Raw genomic sequence first — 21,591 nt, forward strand, 5'->3', positions numbered from 1 at the left:
TGGAACTGTTAAAGGAATAGCAGGAAAGAATATGCCCCAATAGTGCAGCACTTCTCTGTCAGATGTAACTCTCCAGCCTGTGATCTCTGCATTATCCTTCATTAATGTAGACAGACTGGACATGCTCATGAGTAACTATGTCATTGGCACAGTATGGTGATCATAATGGTGCAAAAAAACCCTGAATCTTTATAGAAGACATTTCTCTAGAGACTAGCCTACATTGACATTTACTTCACTTTCAACTACAGTACATAGCTTCTTATGCCCAGGATTCAGCTTTAAAAGCAAAGCCCCTGCTCAAGACCTAAGTATATGCTGAATCCTGGCATGAAAAATAAAGTATCCTAATCAATAAAAATTAGGTAGCTACAAATTGACATGATTACAATCCCTGTCCTAATTACTTGCCTAACCAAGTAGTGATTACTGATGTCCTGGCCCATCATCAACATGTTTGCCTACCAACACTAGGCTTACAATCAATAGATTCTACTACATAGGTGTTATATTTTCTGAATAATTCTAGGTTAACATTATGAATATCCATTATGAATATCCATTATGAATAACCCATCTATCTATGTCCAATCTACTATCCCTTAAAACTATTATTAAAGACTCCTGGGGCAACTAATGAAAATTACTTCAATCATTTATATTTTTAGTCAATTGGTTAGGATGTGAAAGCATAGTCCTGCTCAATAATGTAAGCATATCATCTATTTCCCACCTAACCTCTTTTCTGAGACTGTGCTATTTCTGCATGACTTGAGATTGACATAAGTGTGACGCCAAATAAACTAGCACACATATTAAGCTAAACATAATGAAAACTAAATATTAAGATGAATTGTTTCTGTTCAATTTCAAAAATATACCCTTGGGGACCCCTGGTTTTTCATCTACTCCAACACACTCAAGAGATATATACTACATTAGTAGTATAGCTCACTTCCAAATTCTCAAGGGCTTATTCTAATTAACAAGTTTAGTAACAAAGGTTAGTAAGACAAAGGTCACTCCAACATGAGTTAGCTGGACAAAGTACTTTTAATGCTTATTTTACAAATATGTACCTGTGGTGCTAATACTAGGCAAAGAAAACAGGACGATTCAAGAGCAGCCTATGTAACTACCAACTCAAGCACTAACACTAGCTAGATCACCTTCATGCTTTAAAATTTAAAGTTATGGAGTAGCTGTGCCCACACCCCCCCCCAAAAAAAAGCTTTAATAAAGGCACTGCAGCGTTAACTAAGTTTTAGGGTAAATTTAGGCAATTAACAATTCGAAGAGACTTGTGGTTTATGTATTAGTAATTCAAATTACTGTTTTAGAGATCTCAGGTAGTTAACCAATTCTTGCTCAAAGCACTAATGTTCAGTCCCTCACCATTTATGCTGGGTATGAGTCCCAATGCATGGGTATTGCAACCTATTGTCAGGCCTTAACATGTATGTGTTTGCTTTTATTATTACTAAAATGTTAAAACTTAAACCCAATTATTCACCAAACTCTGAACACCTCAACCTCAGAGCTCCAGAATTAGGAATGAATGACAAAGTTTAGACTCTAATCATTTTAAGAATGTTAGGTGGGAAGAAATGGCTTCAGATGCAGTATTGTGTTCATCTTTCCAGGGGAACATCTCAAATGGGTATTCTGAAGCAGGTTGAGAAGTAGATAAAATTCTCTGCTACAAGTTCCATCCACTTTTTTTTTTTCAAGAGACCAGGTCTCACTATGTTGCCCAGGATGGTCTCAAACTCCTGAGCTCAAGTGATCCTCCCGCCTTGGCCTCCCAAAGTGCTAGGATTACAGGCGTGAGCCACCACACCCAGCCAAGTTCCATCCACTTTTGAAAACAAGACATTTATGTATAGGAAGAGAATTATGGAAACACTTTGTAAAACATCCATTTATTATATCCAATGCTAAACACTACCACTTGGACTCTAAGATATGTTTATGCCTCTCTGTTTATTCTAGTTTTTTAAAAATCAAATATACAAGATCTACAATTATTTATATCCAAGATGTCTACACCACTGCCTAAGAAGCTATTAAAATATTTGTATTTGTGCAATGGAACCCATTATTCACATGGTCCTAGAATAAAAAGTCAATTTATATTGTGAATAAATTTATCAAAAAACATGTCATCCAATTCCCACAAATGAGACATTTTAAATACAGAATACACTCTGTTCATGAATATAAAATCCCCAGGTGAAAGTCCCTTAAAACACTATTATGGTTATGTTTCCTAGAATAATTTTATAACTTTTTCAGAGAATTCCTTTAAACTTGTTAAAATACCTTGTTGCTAGTGCTCAGAACATCTAGGTTCAGTCTTTATTTTTAAGACAGTATCTATCCTAGGCAAATGAGAGCTTGTTTTTATGTATTTAAGAGTTTCCTCTTGTCATTTCAATGTCAAATTGATTTGACTCAATTTCATGATTTCATCTCGCTCAAGGCCATCAACCGGTCAGAGCCAGAGCCCTTCAAAGGCTGTATGTGAGTATATGAGGGAAAACTTTCCACATAATTTTACATCATTTCTATCTCATAGCAGTTTTAGTTTTCTCATAGCTATCTCATAGCAGTTTTAGTTTTCTCAAATTCTATGCTGTTTTTGTACTACTGCAGCTGACCAATCCAAAGCCAGTTTACACTCAGCATGTGTTATTCTACTTTAAAATATAACCTTAGTGAAAGCACCCTTCAAATCAACAGCAATCTCACAGTGAGTTTCCTCTGGGTAGTCAGGATTTGTCCAGAACTACATCCTTTTCAGATGTTCAGAGTTTTGCTTGCCATTAGGGAGGCAAGGGAAGGATGAGCAATAAATCAGGTTTCTCGTTCGTATCTTACTTCTTACCTAATTTTCTCCCTGTTGCTTATTTGGTACATTCCCTTCTCTGAATTCCTTAAACACTTTATAAGGTTATTTCTGCCATACAAGTGTAGACAATTGTATTAATTCTAGTCTTGACTAAAGATTTTAACATTTTTCTGGGTGCCATTTTTATCTATTCTCTCTCCCCCCAAATTCTCTGGGCTAAACAGGCATGATAGTCTACCTAGTGTTACTTGACCATTACTTTCCCACTGCAATTATAAAATGAATTCCTTAATAAGCAATTTTAAACTAGAAGATATATCCAAAACTTTTTAAAGGCACAAAGGACAACTTTAGGACACAACACTGATTAGCATCAAAACCTGAAACTGTTCCTCTAGTAAGTCTATGCAATCCTAATAATGTATACTGAAGAGTAGTAGCTCAGGCCAGTGGTTCTTAGCATTACTTGCTAAAAAAGATAAAAATCCATGACACTATCTTCAACTGTTAAATATCTTATGTTAACTAAGGATTTGCCTGTTCCAAAAATGTCTCAACTGAACCTATACATCACCTAAACTCCAGCTTATAGCAAGAAAATTCCTTAGAAGTATGAATTCATATTTATGATCTGATTTTAAAGGGCTAAAACAAAATTCTAAGCAATCAGAAATATAGCAAACCTAAACTTACCAAAGCAACCTAAAAACACCAAGGAAACGCTAGACTGAAGTCAAATTTTAGTTCTACAGTTTGACTCCTGATTCCTCACTTCACATTGGTGAGGGGAAGATTAAAGTGTTCTGTGCAAACCCAATATAATTACAATTAGGGGATCTAATGTTATTACATAGCTACAGTCAAGTTAGCAGTGTTGTGTAGCAGTGACATCAATGACTGGCTTGCATGATGGCTTCTAAAAGCATCTGATCCCAGAGTTTCATGTATCATATATATGTATATAAAATAATCAGTTGAGGACAGCATTAGCATTCTGTAAAGATGATAAACTCAGTGTTAACTTCTCCCAGCCAGTACCTTTTCCCCTCATTAAATATGTTAAAAGTTGTCTGGGGGGGAGGGGAAGGGAAGAATTCAACTTTACTTCATAATTATGTATCAATTGTCAGTATACATTTAAGTTTTTAAAACCTAAATGTTCTATGCAGAGTAAAGAATAAGCTGTCCAGAAAGCACACACTTAATAAATTTCTCCTCTTGGGAGTTATATAAAGGGATTTTGAACCTTGATGGCGAGAATCCCAAAACAAGAGTAAAATGAATTCTTTTTATTGCAAACAAACGTCTAAATTAATTTCTCCACCCACTTTCTTTAGAAAGAAAAAGAAATCAGCAGGCTAAGGAGATACCCATTCAAGAACTGACATGATTAAAAATTAAGATATAAATGGGTGACTCACAATTTCATTAGCTTACAAAGATGGTGGAGTTAACTACTACAAGCACACTAGTTATACAGTATTTTGTGGGAGAAGGGCATACAGACATGGCTAACTTCATATAGATCCCATTAGACAACTGGATTTACAACAAGTTTTTTTAATAAGAAATGGGCAAAGCCAGCTTTCTTTTCAGAATCAAAATGCAGAACAAATGGAAAAATTATGGTATTAACCTTCACAAGTTTGAGCCTCCACAAATAATGCAACCAAGTTTTACATTTTTAACAGCCCTTCTACATACACTCCATCTTCTCTATCTTAGTTCCAAGTTTTAGTTTTCAATCCCAATTATACCAATTCCATTGTTATTTTAAGAAAAAACCTTCCCAGTTATTGTCAGAAACTATGATTTAGCTTACCCCCTCCACTACCCAGCAAACTACAGAGAGGATGGAGTGTAATATGAGCAGTACAGAGTCTTAATGCAATTCATGAGGACCACTTAGTCCTTACATGAATCTGGTTGCTAACATTTCTATTATATTGTGACAATGACTCCCGACTGTTATTCTCTGTGAGAAATGGGGGGAGTAAATTCTTAATAAAAGACACCAGGTACAAAGCAACATTTTACTTCTGTTGTGATAAAAAAAAAAAAAAGTCACATTTTACAGATAAAATGTAGAACCCTGAAATACTGACACATTCTCTTATCGTGCACAATGCTGAGGTTCTCTTACGATTCACTTTTAAACTGCAATTAAAAATGTACAAAAAAGAAAAGAAAAAAAATCAACCCACAAAGCTTCTAAAAAAGGAACCCGCAGGCACTTCCTCTTGTGGAATGTTTAAAAAGTTAGCCTACTAAAGAAAACAGTCGACTTCTTGTGAAGGTTTTGGAGAAATATGTATCAGTTCGTTTTATTTGGGTATTCAATAATATCCTTGGTGATAATGCTGACTCCATGGCTTCTGACCCCAGAATTGCTGTAAGAGAAAATTTTGTTTTTAAAGAAAAAACATCAATAAGCCACTCAAACTGTTTTTAGGAAATGACAATGAATCTAATTCAGAGTAATTTGCTGGAAACAAATTTATACCTGTCATACCTCTGATTTCTACCAAACCAGATTTAGTTTTAATATCCCATAATTATCAATACACATTACAAAACGAAACATCATGACTTTGTTAGTTTACACAATTAAAGCTAGCAGTAAAAGAACTGTATATATTAAATAATATTACTTTATTAAAAAAATTTAACTTATAGCAATCTTCAACCTATTTTGCCTTCAAAAGGTAGATTATGGCTACTACTGCAAGACGATTCACACTTTACCCTATTAACACTTATAAACACTTCAATCCCTGAACAAGATCTTTTTCAAGACTGATAAATCTTAGGAACTCAAAATACAATTAATGTACATAAAGCACATAAGAAATTACTTACACCCTGCTGCCACTGGTTGTAGCCCTGAGATTGATTTTTGTAGCCACGATTGTTTCCTCGTCCTCTGAAGTTCTACAAAAAGGAAATACTCTCTAAGAGCTCTGAGCCCAATTGCTTGTTAGGTTTGTGGGGGTGAGAGAGAGGAGCAGAAATGGACAGGTTGCTAGCCCCTAATCTTAGGTAGCAAGCAATACACAAATTCTGGATACCCTCTGCTGGTTTCTTATGTTTTAATTTTTTATTCATTATGAGAAATGCATCTGACTTGTTTAGTACACCTGAAAAAACTCAAAAGTAAGTAGACTCATTTCACCATTACTAGTTCAATTTTCCTTATGTCAATGCCTATCATGTTCCTTACGGATTACTAAGACACCCCAACATAAAGCTCACACCTTTCCAGACTAAGCTACAGTTATCAATCATGCTTCCAGGGATCTTGAATCATTACCTGGTTGTAGTTCCCTCTGTTGGGCATTCCACCTCTGTTGTAGTTCCCTCTGTTTGAGTAACTACCACGGCCAGGAAAAACAGGGGCACGAGGGTATGGATAGCCGATTCCACCACTTCCTCCACCGCCACCACCTCTCTGTGGCATGTTGCCCCTCCTATTATATCCGCCACGATTCCCAGGGGCTAAAAGACAAGAGCTGTTTTAGTTTCATTGTATATTGTACCCTACTTATACAGAAGACTTAGGATTCCTCTAGATTGTTCCTTTTTCTCCAAAAATAATTGTTTAAAGACAAAAGAAATGTTTAATTCTAACCATTAACATAACCTAGGTGTATTTAATATCAAATCACATGAATACTTTAGTTACTGTGACAGTATACCATTAATGAGGAAGAAACTTCAGCTACATCCAAACTATAAAATTATCACTTGTTTCGATCCTGAACTAAATACAGAACACTCAAAATTAACTTGCCTCCTCCTCTGAAATTTCCACCACGCATATTGAATCCTCCACGTCCTCTATGGCCACCACCTCTGTTAAACTGGTTCTTGCCACTCTTATTTTTATTGCTTTTCTTTGAGCCAGTGTTCTGTTTCTTTTCTGGTGGAAGAGCCTTTTTGCTTTCTTCCTTATATTGCTCCAAGAGTTTTTGGGCTTCTTCCTTCTGAAGTTCAACATAGGTTATTTCATCAAAGCACTCAGCTACCTCTGGGAGGGTAAAGTTTCCTGCAGGAAACAAAGTCATATTATTAATTTAGAAACCCACCACGAATCCTCACAATCCTAAAGCTGACAATTCTTGAGGTTTAGTAACATATTTTCCTAAAAATAAAAACAGACCAAACATATATGCATATGTAACAACTGCAATTTTAATTCCTGAAGCAGTATTGCTGGAAAAAATGTTAACTTTCAGGAGGCCTAAGTCCTAATAGATTTAACATAGTTACACAAGCAGAATATGTAGGAAAAACATTCTTTTAAAAAGAAGATTTCACACAGTAACAGAATTAAAATTCCATGCCTTTCATTTTGAGGACCGCATGTTCTGGTAGGTCTTTCCCCTCTACTTCTGCTTTCTTCTGTGTTCTTTGCTTATAGTCTTCATCTTTTGGGCAAACTACAACAGCTTTTCGCTGGAAGCCTGCAAACAGGCACATTTTTCTCCTCTGGGCAGCAGCAGACACATTTGTCTTTAAAAAAAGAAATTTATGTTTACAACCCTAAACATTAATTCTACACCAATCTATCTAAATTATCAGTTAATATTTTTCAATTTCAAAGCTACAGCGTACCTGATCCAGAATAAAATTTCGCTTCTTTCGGGCAGCAATCTCAATAAATTTCCCAAGACACTGGGGGGCTCTCTGCAACAGTGTGTTCAGTTTTCCAGTATCTGCCATTTGCTTCTTAAAACCTGCCACCTATATTCAAAAGTTAAAATTTCCCCTTGAACTTGTGAATTTTAATAAGTTATGCTTTTTAAAATTCAACTCATATCTATATGTAAAGCAGGCAACATTTTATAATTTAAATATTACCTTTGTCCATTATTGCTACAAAAACAGGGTCACTTAAACTATGTAACAAGACCTTACACTTACTCAATTCTTTTTAGCTGCTAGATGTTAAGAGCTCAAAAACACTACGGAAAAAAACAGAAGCCTAGCCAGTGGAAGGCAGTTTACCCTCAGAGTTGAAAGAACCAACTTAATCTTGCCTTTCCTCCCATCTCTTTAAGATACTAACAAAATGGATAGAGACAAAGACAAAAAGTTTACCTAGAATACCTCCCGGTCTATAATTTTTCTTTTCTTTTTTTTTTTTTTCTGAGACGGAGTGTTGCTCTGTCGCCCAGACTGGAGTACAATGGCACGATCTCAACTCACTGCAACCTCTGCCTCCCAGGTTCAAGTAATTGTCCCTGCCTCAACCTCCCGAGCAGCTGGGATTACAGGAACCCACTACCACACCCAGCTAATTTTTAAATTTTTAGTAGGAACGGGGCTTCGCCATGTTGGCCAGGTGGGTCTCAAACTCCTGACCTCAGGTGATCCATCCACCTCAGCCTCTCAAAATGCTGAGATTACAGGCGTGAACCACCATGCCCAGCCTCTCCCAGTCTATTTTAAACACTGAGATCAGGCCCTAAACATTTTACTTACCATCATCTTATCCATAATAGTATTTGTGCCAAGAATGTTATATTTCCCTGGATTTTCTGCTGCATGTTTAGTAACCCAGGTAGTTTTTCCAGCTCCTGGCAAGCCAATCATCATCACAACCTAGTGAAAAGAAAAGAAATGTCATTTCACTGTCAGTAGACACCACCTAATAATTCTTTAAATATTGTTAAGGCCAATTTAAATATCTAAGTTTTCATAGCCCTTACACTAACGGACAAAAATTTGTTTATGGAAAGATTAACAGTCAACATAAGGGGGAAACAATTACTTAAGAGCAATATGCACAGCACAAAGTAAATGAAACAGACTAATCATCTAGTTCTTCTAAATGTCATTTTGTGCCAGGCAAGCAATATTCAAATGCCACAGTTAAAAAAAAAAAAATCCCTTACTTCACAATCTTTCTTCTCTTCAGGCCCCTTTGGTCCTCTAACTCGATCCTCTAAGGGGACGTTCTGGATGAAAGTATACTCTTCAGGTATTGGAAAATATGGCTTTTCCTTCTGACCAAAATTAAATTCAACTGCACAGTTGTGGCAGAGAACATGCGGGAACAGTGGCCGTCCAGCAAGAACTTCCTTACTGATTTTGAAGGCAACGCCAAGATCTTGTCCATTCTTAGCATACGAGAGTTCTACTTCATCACTTTCAAAGTTCTGTTACACAGAAAAAAATTCAACAGTTAAAATCTGCTTCCTTAAACTTTCTAAAAAACTAAGAATTAAAATTAGGAGCAAAGCTTATCCTGTGGAAGCTACAGGTTAAAGAACTATTAGGTGGCCTTTAAGGGCTACACAGTTAAGAAATCTGATGGTTGTAAACCATGAAGCACGTATCTCCAGAACCAGAAACAATACTGACCTAGAAGCTAGACTGAATTTTCTAGGTCAATTTCATGTTCACTGTTTTCAGTCAAAATGAATTAGTGAGTTCCTCAAAAATGTCCTGTGTTTTCCCAATTCAACTGCTGAATGAAGTCTTTACACTAATCCAGGGACTGGTGTATTTTGTTGCTCATATTGAAAACTGACCTCAGTAAAGCTTCTTTAAAGTTCCTAGATATAGCTACTAACTTTGCCATTTATACATAGAAAGTTAGCTTTAACTTACAGCAAAACATGTAATCACATCATTTTCATCAAACTTTTCTCCATAATCTTCAGTCTCACAGTTGCATGTTTTTATTCCTTTTAGAGAATACCCATAAGAAAATTCTTCTTCACCTAAGAAAATAATTAATCTTCATGAAGTAGATGTTTAAAATAGTCCAAAGACTCATCTATTTTACTACTTAAGATGTAGGCTACAAGAGAAATAAGCATATAACCTAATCACCTGTCACTGACACTATTACTTTTCTATCTCTGTACCAGAATTGATGGAAGTTAGGAGGGATATATACGCAGAGACCAAATTAGTTGACGATTTGCATATCACGGGTAAGATTTTATTTCAACCATTGGTCATAAACTTCTAATAAAGGAACAAAAACTAAAATGTAGCCTGTGCCTACTATGTGCTAATATTACCTGTCTGAAGTATTAACAGAATAGATAAAAACAGACAAAAGGCTTAGAATGCCCTCTAGTTAAAAAACACTGAAATCAGACCCTCCTGAACATTCATGAGCCCACATCAGTCAAAAAGAAGCTTTACCAAGTAACATTCCACTTGTAGTTAGTGACCAGCCAATACGAACTTCATGTATGTCAATATCTTTTGTATATAAATGCCTTACTGGGATCTTCTCTGTAACCTGAAAGTCAAATCATTAAATAATTAAAATAATACACCAAGGAGGTAACCCCTTAACTCTCGCATATTTCATTGCGCCACGGGCTAATCTTCCTCTAGCTATAAATACAAAGAAGGCACACTCTAGCCCACCCCCAATATTTGTAAGAACTTTAAACTGATGTGCTTATAACTTGAAATTTAAAGAGTTAAATACTTATTTGACCCATATTTAAAAGAATACTTAATATTTTTAAAGTTCATGTTGTCAGTCTTTAACTTAAAGCCAATTAAAGGATACAATTAATGTTTTTCTCACCAACAAAAGCAGTAATGTAACCAAATTTTATTTTTAACTCTTTGGTGGCCCTTTCAAATGCTTGATAAAAATGAAGTACCCTAAATAAAAAATCGCCTAGCTCTGCATGGCAAGTTCTAACATAACAACCGTGATTAACTGTCACAACAAAATGAAGGTTCCAAGCTCCTCTTTTAATTTACAGGAAGCTTCAAAAATAAGTACCTTTGATAACTTAGCAGTATGAAGCACCTGTAATTCCAGCATTCTGAGAGGCTCAGGCGGGCAGATCACTTGAGCTTAGGAGTTCAAGACCAGCCTGGGCAACATGGTGAGACCTTGTCACTATTTTAAAAAGGAAAAAAAAAGGCTGGGCACAGTGGCTCATGCCTGTAATCCCAGCACTTTGGGACGCCGAGACAGTGGATCACCTGAGGTCAAGAGTTGGCGACCAGCCTGGCCTACGTGGTGAAACCCCATCTCTATTAAAAATACAAAAATTAGCCAGGTGTGGTAGTGTGTGCCTCTAGTCCGAGCTACTTGAGAGACTGAAGCAAGGAGAATCGCTTGAACCCAGGACGCGGAGGTTGCAGTGAGCCTAGGTCGCACCACGGCAATCCAGCCTAGGGAACAGAGTGAGACTGTCTCCACAAACAAACAAACAAATCATAAAATTGCATTTACCTTCATCTCAAAACACACTTTGCCTTTTGACACACCATAGGATGCTCTTCCTCCAGCCCAAAGAAAAGCAAAACTCTCCATTGTAAGGGAAGAAGCACTGAGACGATCTCTTGATATTTTAAAATGTAGATCACAATTATCTGTAATTATATCAAATACTGTGTTACTTTTGACATCCAATGTAAACATATCTGCTATGTAGACAAAACTTGGTTACTTAATTTTTGCATGTACTTCTTAATGCTGCACAACTTTTCTCCACATCATGCTGTTGTTCCAATTTTCAGTTTAAAGCCCCACTCCCACCAAGTCACTCCTGTTAAATTATGTACTGAAAAGTAAACTGCCTGTGAAACTAATACCAAGGTTTAACATGTATATTTTAAGTATTTAAAATAATCAAGACAATGTGACATTAATACATACCTGCTCTGCTCTTTACCTTGATTTAGAGGCAAGCAGTAGAGGATAGCAGGAAATCAAAGTGAAGCATGCCAGAACCAGGTAGATTTACCAGTGCCACATTAAAACTGAAGGGAGGCCACGACCAAATTATTTTAAAATAGGAGTATGAGCTGCTGTTGATCCTGCACCAGGGCTCTAGCTCCTAAATTCTTTTTCTAAAACTTGTGAAGAAGACAGCCTAAAACTATGAAGTACAAACCTGGCCGTCTAATGCTGTTAATAGTGCAGCATTTTAGGTCCTCTTTACCCAGGACTGCCTGTTCAACAATTAGGGATTAATTGCTTCCCGGATTATCCAAATCCAAAGTGTCTTTAACCCAGCTACCTATGGGTCACTGGCTCATTAACATGCACTTCCTCAGACTTCTCACTTGAACAGCTAAAGTCAAGCTGGAACTCATTTTCTTTTTACTGATCAGAGAAAAATAAATCTACAGTTTGGAATTTTTCTTAAATTAGAGTTATTCTAATCAACAGAATTTAATTCAACAGATTGTTTGAATTCAACATTGTACTTATATTGACATATTCCTGATTTGCTAAAAAATCTAACAATTACATTACCTGTGTGAGTCACCACTTCACTACCTTGCCAATTCCTAGCAACTTATTTATACAACCCAGAATTTCACTAAAACTTTCACATCAACTAACTCCTTTTTCACCTGCAGTTTTTTCTTTTAAAAAGGCTCAGATGACTATCTCAACCTTCTGTAAAGGATATTCCAGTAAGAAAGAGTTTTACATTGACACTCTTACAAATCTGAATAAAGCCAATTTGTACAAGAAAACATGAGAAGCTAAGCTCCAATGCCTTCCATCTAACACAGCAGGCTGACACCATAGCTGATACTTTTGAAACAGTTATTTTTATCCTTTGGTCTATTTATCACACCCAGAGTTGTACATTCTCATCACTAAACCAACTACGTTTTTTTGTAACAAAAAAAAAAAAAAAAAAAACAAGTCTGACAGTCAAAGCCCACTTAGAGGTTTGCAATACTTTCTCACTCAATTGCAACCCAACTGGGTAAAGTAGCAGTATTTACAGTGCTGCACTGCCATTGATACCATTCGCTGCTGAAGAAAGCTAGTGGCCCAGTGATAGCCCACTGCTGCTGCCTCAGGTCTTTGGAAGAAATCAACTTATGTTTAAAGCAGCAGCTACTGAACTGGAATTGAGAACAAAAGAGCAGTTATTGAAAAAGTAATATTACAATCTTTTAAAATAGGGAATATACTTGTGTGCTAATGGGAGAAGTCATTAGTAAATATTTAACTAGCCCAAATAGCTCACTTAATATAATTCCACAAAAAAATGAATTACTTTATTGTAGAAGCCTGTAAGGCTAAATTATAGGTAGTGTTACAAGTTTCCGTTAGCTAGTCAAAAACTGGCATTAATTTTACATTTCCTAAGAATGAGAACTTTCAAGTCATAAAAATACGAAACTCCTAGAGCCTGTAAAATAATCCACTTAATACAACTGATGACGTGCTAAATATTAAACTACTAGGTTCTGAATGTAAACCATTATCTTCCTGCTTTTAAAAAAACTAACCCAAGTTTTGCTGCACTTAAGCATTAAGACTTCTAAAAAAAAAAAAAAAAAAACCACCATCACCGCATTTCATAATTGGGGAGAAACAGCTTCACTTACAAGTATCAAGACAAACCACTGTGTCATCGAAGTGTTCATCTTCTTCTTCAACAGGTGGCTGAGGAGATTTGGCTCTGAAAGACAGAATTGTCTCCTGATACAGCTTTCCGATCAACGAACGAATAAGGGATGAGTAAAACTAGGTGAGCATCCTATACCTGCTATACTTGTTCTCTTCAATGTACTCAAAATATCCACGGCCATGATCTTCTCGTGGTCTTTTAACACCCCTCTTTTTATCTCCGCCTTTCTGTTCTGTTTTGCCGTCCCCTAAAACACACACGAGCCCCATAAAGGCCAAGCCTCTAAACAACAAAAAAACGCTTTTCCGTTCCGAGAACCAAAGCAGCTCGACTTTATCCTGCTTTTTAACTGAGGTTTTAACCGAGGACTCAAATGTGAATTCAAAGAACAATCAACTACGAATTCGATTGGCGCTAGTGACGCAGTCTAAAGACATTACTAATTTTGCCAGTCTCCTCGATGATTCGAGAAAGCCAAAGAAAAACTGCGCGGCCCAGGCCCGAAGCCCACGTGTATCCCGAAGAGAGCGCAGAGAGGGGGAGGGGCCGAGCCCGGCGCGGCGGCGCTCCCCTCCCCCGCGGGCCCGCGCTCCCCGCGGCCGCATTGTACTGATCTTCCGCCCCCCGCCCCGCCCCGCCCGGCTCCTCCCGCCGGAAGTGACGTCACGCCGAGCCCCTGCGCTCCTTGCACAATACAGCGGCGAGGAGCCGCCAAAGCGCGCCCGCCCCGGGACCTGGGGCCTCTCCCCTCCCCCCGAGACATGTGCCCGCACCGCGCGCACGCAGCGCGACGGCGCCACCGCGGGCCGACCGGGCTCCCTCCCGCCGCCCGCCCGCGGCTCCTCCCCCTACAGCGGCAGCTGCAGCTCCCCCCGGCTCTCGAGCCACATAATGGAGGCGCTGCCACCGCCGACACACACACACACACACACACACACGCGCGCGCGCACACACACGCCCCGAGCCCGAGGCCTCTCGGCTAATCTGGGATTCCCCGCGCCCCCTCCCCCACCCTCACCGCGGCGCCCTCCCGCCCGGGGCTCCCTCCCCCTGCGGGGCTCCGGCAGGCCTGGGGCACGGTCCCCACCCCGCGCGGGCCTCCCGCCGCGCGCAACGTACAACGCAGCACTCACCCGCCGCCGGAGCCCCGGGGCGACCGCCGCCTCCGCCGCCTTCCGCCTTCTTCTTACCTCCCGCCTGCTGCTGGCCCTGCCTCGCCCCGGGCGGCGCCACCGTCACCGCGAACAGCGAGGTGGGGCCGCTGCTCTTCCCCGCGGCCTCCTTGGCGGCCCCGCGCTGCTGTTGGGGCTGTTGCTGCTGCGTCGCCGGCGGTTGAGGCTGCTGCTCCCCGTGCCCGTTCTCGTCGCCCGCGCCTTCCTCTTCGTCCCCGAGCTCATCTTCCCCTTCCTGGAAACCCTGATCGTCGCCGTTCTCGTCTTCCGAGGCGGCCTCCTCCTCCTCCATCGGGCCCGAGTCGGCCGCCCCCGCGGCCCCGTTCTCCTCTCCTAGCTCCATCTGGTCGCCGTCCAGAGCGGAGATTCCTTCCTCCTCCTCTTCCTCTTCCTCCTCCTCTTCATCGCCGCCGGCCGCGGCCTCCTGCTCGAGGCCTGCTCCCGAGCGCCCAGCGGAATCCCCGCCCAGGTCTAGGCTGCCGTTCCCGGGCTCCATGGCGGGGCGGCCCCCGGCCTCCTCGTCGTCCAGCGCAGCCTGGAGTCGCTCCATGAGCTCGGCCTTGAGACCCTTGTCAGAAAGGCGTCGCTTCTTGAGCTCCTCTTTCAGCTCCGACACCTTCAGCTTTTTTACATTAACAGGCGAGGAACTCATGGTGAGGGCCCCGATTCACCGCTAGGCGCTGCCTCAAACTCGGCTCCGCTCACTCGGCCACTGGTGGCGGCTGCTGCGGCTGCTCCTCGGCCCGGGCGGCGGCTGCGGCTGCGGCTGGAGATGGGTTCGTGCTGCAGAGCGGATCCGCCTGGTGTCGAACGGCGCCAATTCCTTTCACCGAGTTCGCGAGGGAGACGCGGAGACTCGCCTGGCGCGAGCGAGCACGCAACGTCCTCTCGCAGGAGCGGCGCCGCGCACGTAATATAGGCGCCCCGCCCCCTGCGCTGACGGGAGCACTGCGCAGGAGGAAAGCCGGAGCGCGCCCGCGCTCGGCCCCGCCCATTACCGTACTTACCTCCCCGCCCCCACGCCGAACCCGGGCCGAGAGCGCGGTGGAGGCCGCGCAGTGCGCTTCCAATTGGGACTGAGCAAATGGAGGAAAAGGAAACCGCCTTTCAGTTCAACCGACTCACTGCATGATATATTGGCCTTTCTGGGTCTTTGGTGGCTATACTCGTTTGGCTTTTCTCCTTCCCAGCTTGGAGGCTGCTTTATCCAAATGCTTTCTTCAGTCCTCAACTTGGCGTTTCAACCCGAATCCGCCTTTTCTTCCATCTTAGATCTGCCTTCTTATGTGTTTCTCCAGCTCTTCGTTTAAAACTCCTTCAAATCGTATTTCAGTTTTGACTGGTATAGCATACATTGGCAACTGTTACACGCAGCGGCTCTTTTCCTCATAATACCGTATTTGGTTTAATTTGTGTAAGTCCTGCCTTGCGAATTGGATTTTAAGTTCGAGAAGGGCAAGGGCAGAACCGTTCTTTTGTCTGTTCCACACCCCGGGTGCGGGGCCTGGGAAGTAGAGGCTTTGCTTACTACTCCATACTGCAAACCTTAGTGTACCTGCCTTTGCAGGGCAGCTATTCTCATGCTCTTAATAACCCTGAATAAACCTCAGAATTGCATTTCCAAGTTTTCTGTAGCTACCACAAAGACGGACCTCCAGTAACACTTGTTCTGTCCACTTTAGGACCTGGTCATCAGCTACGAAGTCCCAGTAGCTAACCGTGAGGGTGAGACCCAACTAGGTCTTTGATTATAGGCCCACTTGATTCTCTTCCTATTCCTGTAGAAATACTCTTGACCAAATTATTCTGAAACTTAAAGTTTACGAAAAATCAAGGGCTGTGATTTTGTAAAAAGAAAAATGGACTATCGCTCTTGAAATCCGTTATTTTATATGTTAGAAGTTTACTTTTTCTCTTTAAAGAAAAGATGTGATGTCTCGAAGTTTTAGATAGGGAAGTCAGAATTTAGATTCGTGATAGAAGTTAACATTTTAAACCCTAGATAATCTGCAGTGTCCAGCCAGTGTTCCATCTGACTAAGGAGATGGTTTATACCCACTGTTTGGTGCTCTAGGTGGCACAATAATATTGCCCCATTATTAATTTGAAATTTGGAAGTAAACACATTGAAATTTCTCCCATAGGCTAATATGATTTAACTAATTGATACATTTTATTTTTGAAGTTTATTTTCGGTAGCTTTTATGAAGCATTCTACCATACCTTGCAGTCATGTATACGTGAAATATTAACACTTGTGAAATGATTTGACTTGAAATTAATGGACTATGTACAGTACTACTGATAATCCCCAGTTCAAGTTAAGTGGTGAGGATAGCCCCCAAAATAGAAACTTCCAAACAGTGCCAGAAACTCATTTTAGCCTTTGGTTATAATTTTGAAGGTTATGAATAAGCCACAAACTGGAATTTGAAATTTTGTCTTCGTTCAGAAATGGGAAGAGAGCTACAGGGGGTTTACATGTTCACAAACTAGATAACTAATCCCTTAATGAATCAGAGTTAAATACAATTATGATGGTTCCTTAAATTTATGTGTCCTAGATATTATTTACACCTTTAAATATTAGTTATATGAAAACAAATTTCATTTACTGGAAAACACTAAACTATGAAAACAAAGATTGTATATCTACATATAGTAGATCTGTAACAGTCACTCTTGGAACATTAAGTCAGTTGCAAAAATAAACATGAAATACAACTTTTGATGCTCACAAGAAAGTTCTATGGCTTTATCTCCAAAAGTTTTGGAGAACTTTAGAGCTGGATGGGGCCTGGAGATCGATCTGCAGTCCTGTTCATTTTACTGCCCAGGAAGCTGGGACCCTCACCCCCCACACCAATGGGCTTTCTATTACATTGTGCTGTCTTAGACAACATTTGAAAGAAAAACAATTTCTGCTCAAAGAACCATCATCATACTATCCTTTTCACAAACAGAGGAAATATGCCATTCCATAGTCTTATGTTACCACTTCAAAGTACAAATGGTGACATCTTATTGATCATTTTTGCTTCTTATATTTTTAATGCTATCATGATAGTCCTGCTCTACAGAGACCTGTTAAAGTGCAGGTCACTTCCTGTAAATCTCTGAAGGACCTCTAAGACAATTTAAATTCCCCCTGTGTCAAATCCTAGAGGCTACCAAGAATACCGCGTGCCGGAGGAGACAAGTTAATTCTCAATAACAAAAAATGATTCAAGAATGACCTATGAATAATTGATCTGTGAGAGGTAACTACAAAGTTTTGGTGCTCTGCATGTCTAGCTTACATTTTTGAGGTTTAAGCAAAGGAAATGCTATACTTTGTCACACAATTTATTCAGCAAATATTTTTTCAATACTTTCTCAAAAACATTTTATAGTCATAACGATGAGGCAGTTCCAGAGATCTACAGTTAACAAAGTATCCTGCACTTAAAAATTTGCTGGCCAGGCCCAGCGGCTCATGTCTGTAATCCCAGCACTTCGAGAGGCCGAGATGGGAAGATGGCTTGAGGCCAGGAGTTCGAAACCAGCCTGAGGAACACAGTGAGACTCCATCTCCACAAAAAATTAAAATTAGGTGGCTGTGGTGGTACGCCTGTAGTCCGAGCTACTCAAGGGGCTGAGGTAGCAGGATCACTTGACCCCCGGCAGTCAAGGCTGCAGTGAGCCGTGATTGTACCACTGCACTCTAACCTGGACCACAGAGGGAGACCCTGTCTCAAAAAAAAAAAAAAAGAAAAAAGAAAGAAAAAGAAAAAAACCCGTTAAGATCTTACGTTAAATATTCTCATTCCCCCCCGCCCCCCAAAAAAAACAAAACAAAACAAAAAACAAGATCGGGAGTGGTGGCTCACACCTGTAATCCCAGCACTTTGGGAGGCTGAGGTGGGCAGATCACCTGAGGTCAGGAGTTCGAGACCAGCCTGGCCAACATGTTGAAACCCCATCTCTACTAAAAACACAAAAAATAGCCAGGCGTGGTGGTGGCCGCCTGTAATCCCAGCTACTCAGGAGCCTGAGGCAGGAGAATCACTTGAACCTGGGAGGCGGAGGTTGCAGTGAGCTGAGACTGAGCCACTGAACTCCAGCCTGGGGGACAAAGCAAAACTTCGTCTCAAAAAAAAAAAAAAAAAAAAAAGGCCGGGCGCGGTGGCTCACGCCTATAATCCCAGCACTGTGGGAGGCCGAGGCGGGCGGATCATGAGGTCAGGAGATCAAGACCATCTTGGTTAACACAGTGAAACCCCATCTCTACTAAAAATACAAAAAATTAGCTGGGCGTGGCAGCGTGCGCCTGTAATACCAGCTACTCGGGAGGCTGAGGCAGGAGAATGGCGTGAACCCTGGAGGCGGAGCTTGCAGTGAGCCGAGATCGCACCACTGCACTCCAGCCCGGGCAACAGAGCGAGACTCCGTCTAAAAAAAAAAAAAAAAAGAAAGAAAGAAAGAAAAAGAAAAAGAGCCGGGAGCAGTGTGGGCTCAAGCCTGTAATCCCAGCACCTTGGGAGGCCAAGGCGGGCGGATCACCTGAGGTCGGGAGTTTGAGACCAGCCTGACCAACATGGTCTCTACTAAAAATACAAGATTAGCCGGGTTCGGTGGCAGGCGCCTGTAATCCCAGCTACTAGAGGGGCTCAGGCAGGAGAATCGCTTGAGCCTTGGAGGCAGAGGTTGCGGTGAGCCGAGATTGCGCCATTGCACTCCAGCCTGGGCAACAAGAGCAAAACTCCACCTCAAAAAAAAAAAAAAAGGGAAAATGAAAAAGAAAAAAAAGGACAAAGGTACACAAGGAAACTGTTGGAGGTAATGGATATGTTCATTTTCCTGAATGTGGTGATGGTAGCATGCGTGTGTATGTCTGTCCAAACTCACCAAATATGTATAGATTTATTAGTTATATGCAGGGTTTTCTTTTTTTTTGAGACAAAGTTTCACTTTGTTGCCCAGGCTGGAGTGCAGTGGAACCGTCTCAGCTCACTACAACCCCCGCCTCCCGGGTTCAAGCAATTCTTGTGCCTCAGCCTCCCTCGTAGCTGGGATCACAGGCGTTCACCACCACCCTCGGCTGATTTTTTTTTTTTTTTTTTTTTTGTATTTTTGTAGAGACAGGGTTTCACCATGTTGCCCAGGCTGGTCGTGAACTACTGAGCTCAGGCAATCCACCCATCTCGGCCTCCCAGAGTGCTAGGATTACAGGCGTGAGCCACCGTGCCCGGCCTATATGCAGTTATCGTATACCAATTATACCTCCATAAAGCTGGGGAGGTTGGGGGAGGAAGACAAAAGAATTCAGGCCTGCGGGGAATGATGGGAGTGGGTAGGAGAGGAGAGAGGGGAGAGAGGAAAACACAGATCACCAGCAGCCTCGTGGGTGGTTTTGTAAAGGACTTTGGCTTTTGCTTTCTGCTATGGACTGAACGTTTGTGTCCCCACAAAAGTCCTGTGTTGAAACCTAATCCCCCATGATATTAGGAGCTGAGGCCTTTGGAGGCAACGAGGTCATGAGCGTGGAGCCCTCATCAATGGGATTAGAAAATTTATACAGAGCTGAAGAGACCAGCGTTCGTGTCTTCTGCCCTGTGAGGACACAGCAAGAAGGTGCCCTGGGTGGGGAGGCGGGCCCTCACCAGTCACTGAGGCGCTGGGCTTCTTAGCTTCCAGAACTGCGACCAATAAGTGTCTGTTGTTTATAAGCTACTCGGCTTATGATGTTTGTTAGAAGAGCCCAAATGGACTAAAACACCTCCAGGAGGAGGGAAGACATAGAACGTTGTTAGCAGAGTGACATGAGGGGACAAGAATGCTAAATTAAAAGGACTCGAGAGGCTGTTCTATTTAACTTGGTTTTTGTTTGTTTGTTTTGATCTGGAGTGCAGTGGCGCAATTTCGGTTCACTGCAACCTCTGCCTTCCGGGTTCAAGCAATTCTCCTGCCTCAGCCTCTCTAGTAGGTGGGGTTACAGGCGTTGGCCACCACGCCCAGCTAATTATTTGTATTTTTAGTGGAGACGGGGTTTCACCATGTTGGTCAGACTGGTATTGAACTCCCGACCTCAAGGGATCCACCCGCCTTGGCCTCTCAAAGTGCTGGGATTACAGGTGTGCGCCACCTCCAGCTAATTTTTGCATTTTTAGTAGAGACAGGGGTTTGCCATGTTGGCCAGGCTAGTCTTGAACTCCTGACCTCAACTGATCCACCCACCTTGGCCTCCCAAAGTGCTGAGATTATAAGCATGAGCCACCATGCCCGGCCTTAACCCCTTTTTTTGTTTTTGTGTTTTTTGTATAGCACGATCAAGCCCAATTTAAATTAATCAAAGATGCATAAAATATACTGAGATACATTTTCCAATGTATTTTACAAAAGATGTAAGAGTCAGAAACACCTCCAAAGTATTCTGTACTAAAAGTAGACATTTTCACATAGACAAACAGGAAAGCCCAGCTGCAAGGGAGGAGGTACCAAGTTCTGGTTAGAAGTGCAAACTTTCAACTCAGAAAGTCGAAGCTGTACCACATAGTCGCTGCGTGATTTTGCACAAGCTATTTTTCTCTCCATGCCTGAGTTTACTCATGTATAAAAATAATACTTGCCACCTGAAGTTGTTGGGGAAATTCAACAAATAACTGAATACAGTGCTTGGCACACAGTAAAAGCTCAAAAAATAGTAGTCTTCATCAGACACACTGAACAATTTTAGGCAGTTAAAAATCTATGATTGGCTGGGCGCGGTGACTCACACCTGTAATCCCAGCACTTGGGGAGGCCAAGGTGAGTGGATCACCTGAGGTCAGGAGATCTAGAACAGCCTAGCAACATGGTGAAACCCCGCCTCTACTAAAGATACAAAAATTAGCCAGCGCCTTAGTCCCAGCTACTCAGGAAGCTGAGACAGGGGAATTGCTTGAACCCGAGAGGTGGAGGTTGCAGTGAGTCGAGATTGCACGACTGCACTCCAGCCTGGGCAGCAGAGCGAGACTCCATCTAAATAAATTAATTAGTTAAAAAAAAACCTACGATTGAGTGATTAATACTAAATCTTATCAAGGAAATTATAACTACATGTATTTTGTAAGTTATCAATGAATTGTTTGTGGTAAGATGTCAATCTGGGAATAAGTGAAGCAAAGTCTAAACATAAGTATGTAGGTTGGGTACAGTGACCCACACCTGTGATCTCACT

At 41.4% G+C, this 21,591-nt stretch overlaps 2 protein-coding genes and 1 non-coding gene across 4 annotated transcripts in view, besides 6 other annotated features; all 3 read right to left on the minus strand.

Moving 5' to 3' along the window:
• On the minus strand, positions 1,035 to 15,281 carry HNRNPU (heterogeneous nuclear ribonucleoprotein U). Of its 2 annotated transcripts, none has more exons than NM_031844.3 (14): positions 14,355 to 15,281; positions 13,357 to 13,468; positions 13,199 to 13,272; positions 11,073 to 11,212; positions 10,013 to 10,112; positions 9,467 to 9,579; positions 8,749 to 9,012; positions 8,336 to 8,455; positions 7,466 to 7,594; positions 7,195 to 7,363; positions 6,642 to 6,896; positions 6,162 to 6,346; positions 5,711 to 5,782; positions 1,035 to 5,241 (listed from the first exon to the last, which is right to left on the minus strand). In NM_031844.3, exons 1-14 carry the CDS (start codon positions 15,043 to 15,045, stop codon positions 5,188 to 5,190), a joined length of 2,478 nt encoding a protein of 825 aa, NP_114032.2. In that variant the 5' UTR covers positions 15,046 to 15,281; the 3' UTR covers positions 1,035 to 5,187. The 2 variants fall into 2 exon arrangements, with proteins under 2 accessions (NP_114032.2, NP_004492.2); NM_004501.3 differs by having other exon boundaries at positions 1,038 to 5,241; positions 14,412 to 15,263.
• On the minus strand, positions 4,825 to 4,955 carry SNORA100 (small nucleolar RNA, H/ACA box 100). The gene has a single exon (NR_132782.1). It is a non-coding gene; the product is annotated as a small nucleolar RNA, H/ACA box 100 (small nucleolar RNA).
• Positions 13,671 to 14,350: a silencer, noted in NCBI's record as "silent region_2020". NCBI's record gives its function as "represses an Ori minimal core promoter by ATAC-STARR-seq in GM12878 lymphoblastoid cells {active_cell/tissue: GM12878}" and the evidence as "EXISTENCE:reporter gene assay evidence [ECO:0000049][PMID:35858748]".
• Positions 14,655 to 15,486: an enhancer, noted in NCBI's record as "NANOG-H3K27ac-H3K4me1 hESC enhancer chr1:245027219-245028050 (GRCh37/hg19 assembly coordinates)". NCBI's record gives its function as "activates a minimal SCP1, AML or CMV promoter by ChIP-STARR-seq in naive H9 embryonic stem cells {active_cell/tissue: H9 hESC(naive)}" and the evidence as "EXISTENCE:reporter gene assay evidence [ECO:0000049][PMID:30033119]".
• The window catches only part of LOC124904588 (UPF0764 protein C16orf89-like), a gene marked incomplete at its 5' end in the record, with an annotated part of 43,053 nt that continues 36,681 nt past the window's right edge, over positions 15,220 to 21,591 (minus strand). Inside the window, 2 exons of the mRNA XM_047439568.1 lie at positions 15,220 to 15,324; positions 15,401 to 15,469. Coding sequence (XP_047295524.1) covers positions 15,220 to 15,324; positions 15,401 to 15,469 — 174 coding nt within the window. The remainder of the gene's footprint in view (positions 15,325 to 15,400; positions 15,470 to 21,591) is intronic.
• Positions 15,331 to 15,430: a silencer, noted in NCBI's record as "silent region_2021". NCBI's record gives its function as "represses an Ori minimal core promoter by ATAC-STARR-seq in GM12878 lymphoblastoid cells {active_cell/tissue: GM12878}" and the evidence as "EXISTENCE:reporter gene assay evidence [ECO:0000049][PMID:35858748]".
• Positions 15,487 to 16,317: an enhancer, noted in NCBI's record as "H3K27ac hESC enhancer chr1:245028051-245028881 (GRCh37/hg19 assembly coordinates)". NCBI's record gives its function as "activates a minimal SCP1, AML or CMV promoter by ChIP-STARR-seq in naive H9 embryonic stem cells {active_cell/tissue: H9 hESC(naive)}" and the evidence as "EXISTENCE:reporter gene assay evidence [ECO:0000049][PMID:30033119]".
• Positions 15,651 to 15,710: an enhancer, noted in NCBI's record as "active region_2847". NCBI's record gives its function as "activates an Ori minimal core promoter by ATAC-STARR-seq in GM12878 lymphoblastoid cells {active_cell/tissue: GM12878}" and the evidence as "EXISTENCE:reporter gene assay evidence [ECO:0000049][PMID:35858748]".
• Positions 19,409 to 20,008: an enhancer, noted in NCBI's record as "H3K27ac hESC enhancer chr1:245031973-245032572 (GRCh37/hg19 assembly coordinates)". NCBI's record gives its function as "activates a minimal SCP1, AML or CMV promoter by ChIP-STARR-seq in naive H9 embryonic stem cells {active_cell/tissue: H9 hESC(naive)}" and the evidence as "EXISTENCE:reporter gene assay evidence [ECO:0000049][PMID:30033119]".

Source organism: Homo sapiens, chromosome 1, assembly GCF_000001405.40.
Source record: "Homo sapiens chromosome 1, GRCh38.p14 Primary Assembly".
Lineage (NCBI taxonomy): Eukaryota > Metazoa > Chordata > Mammalia > Primates > Hominidae > Homo > Homo sapiens.

Coding starts and splice junctions, on each gene's coding strand:
- HNRNPU (NM_031844.3), bottom strand. CDS start 15,045: ATGAGTTCCTCGCCTGTTAATGTAAAAAAGCTGAAGGTGTCGGAGCTG. Junction 13,469..14,354: donor CCCCGGGGCTCCGGCGGCGG/GTGAGTGCTGCG, acceptor TGTGTGTTTTAG/GGGACGGCAAAACAGAACAG. Junction 6,347..6,641: donor TGGAAATTTCAGAGGAGGAG/GCAAGTTAATTT, acceptor CTTGTCTTTTAG/CCCCTGGGAATCGTGGCGGA.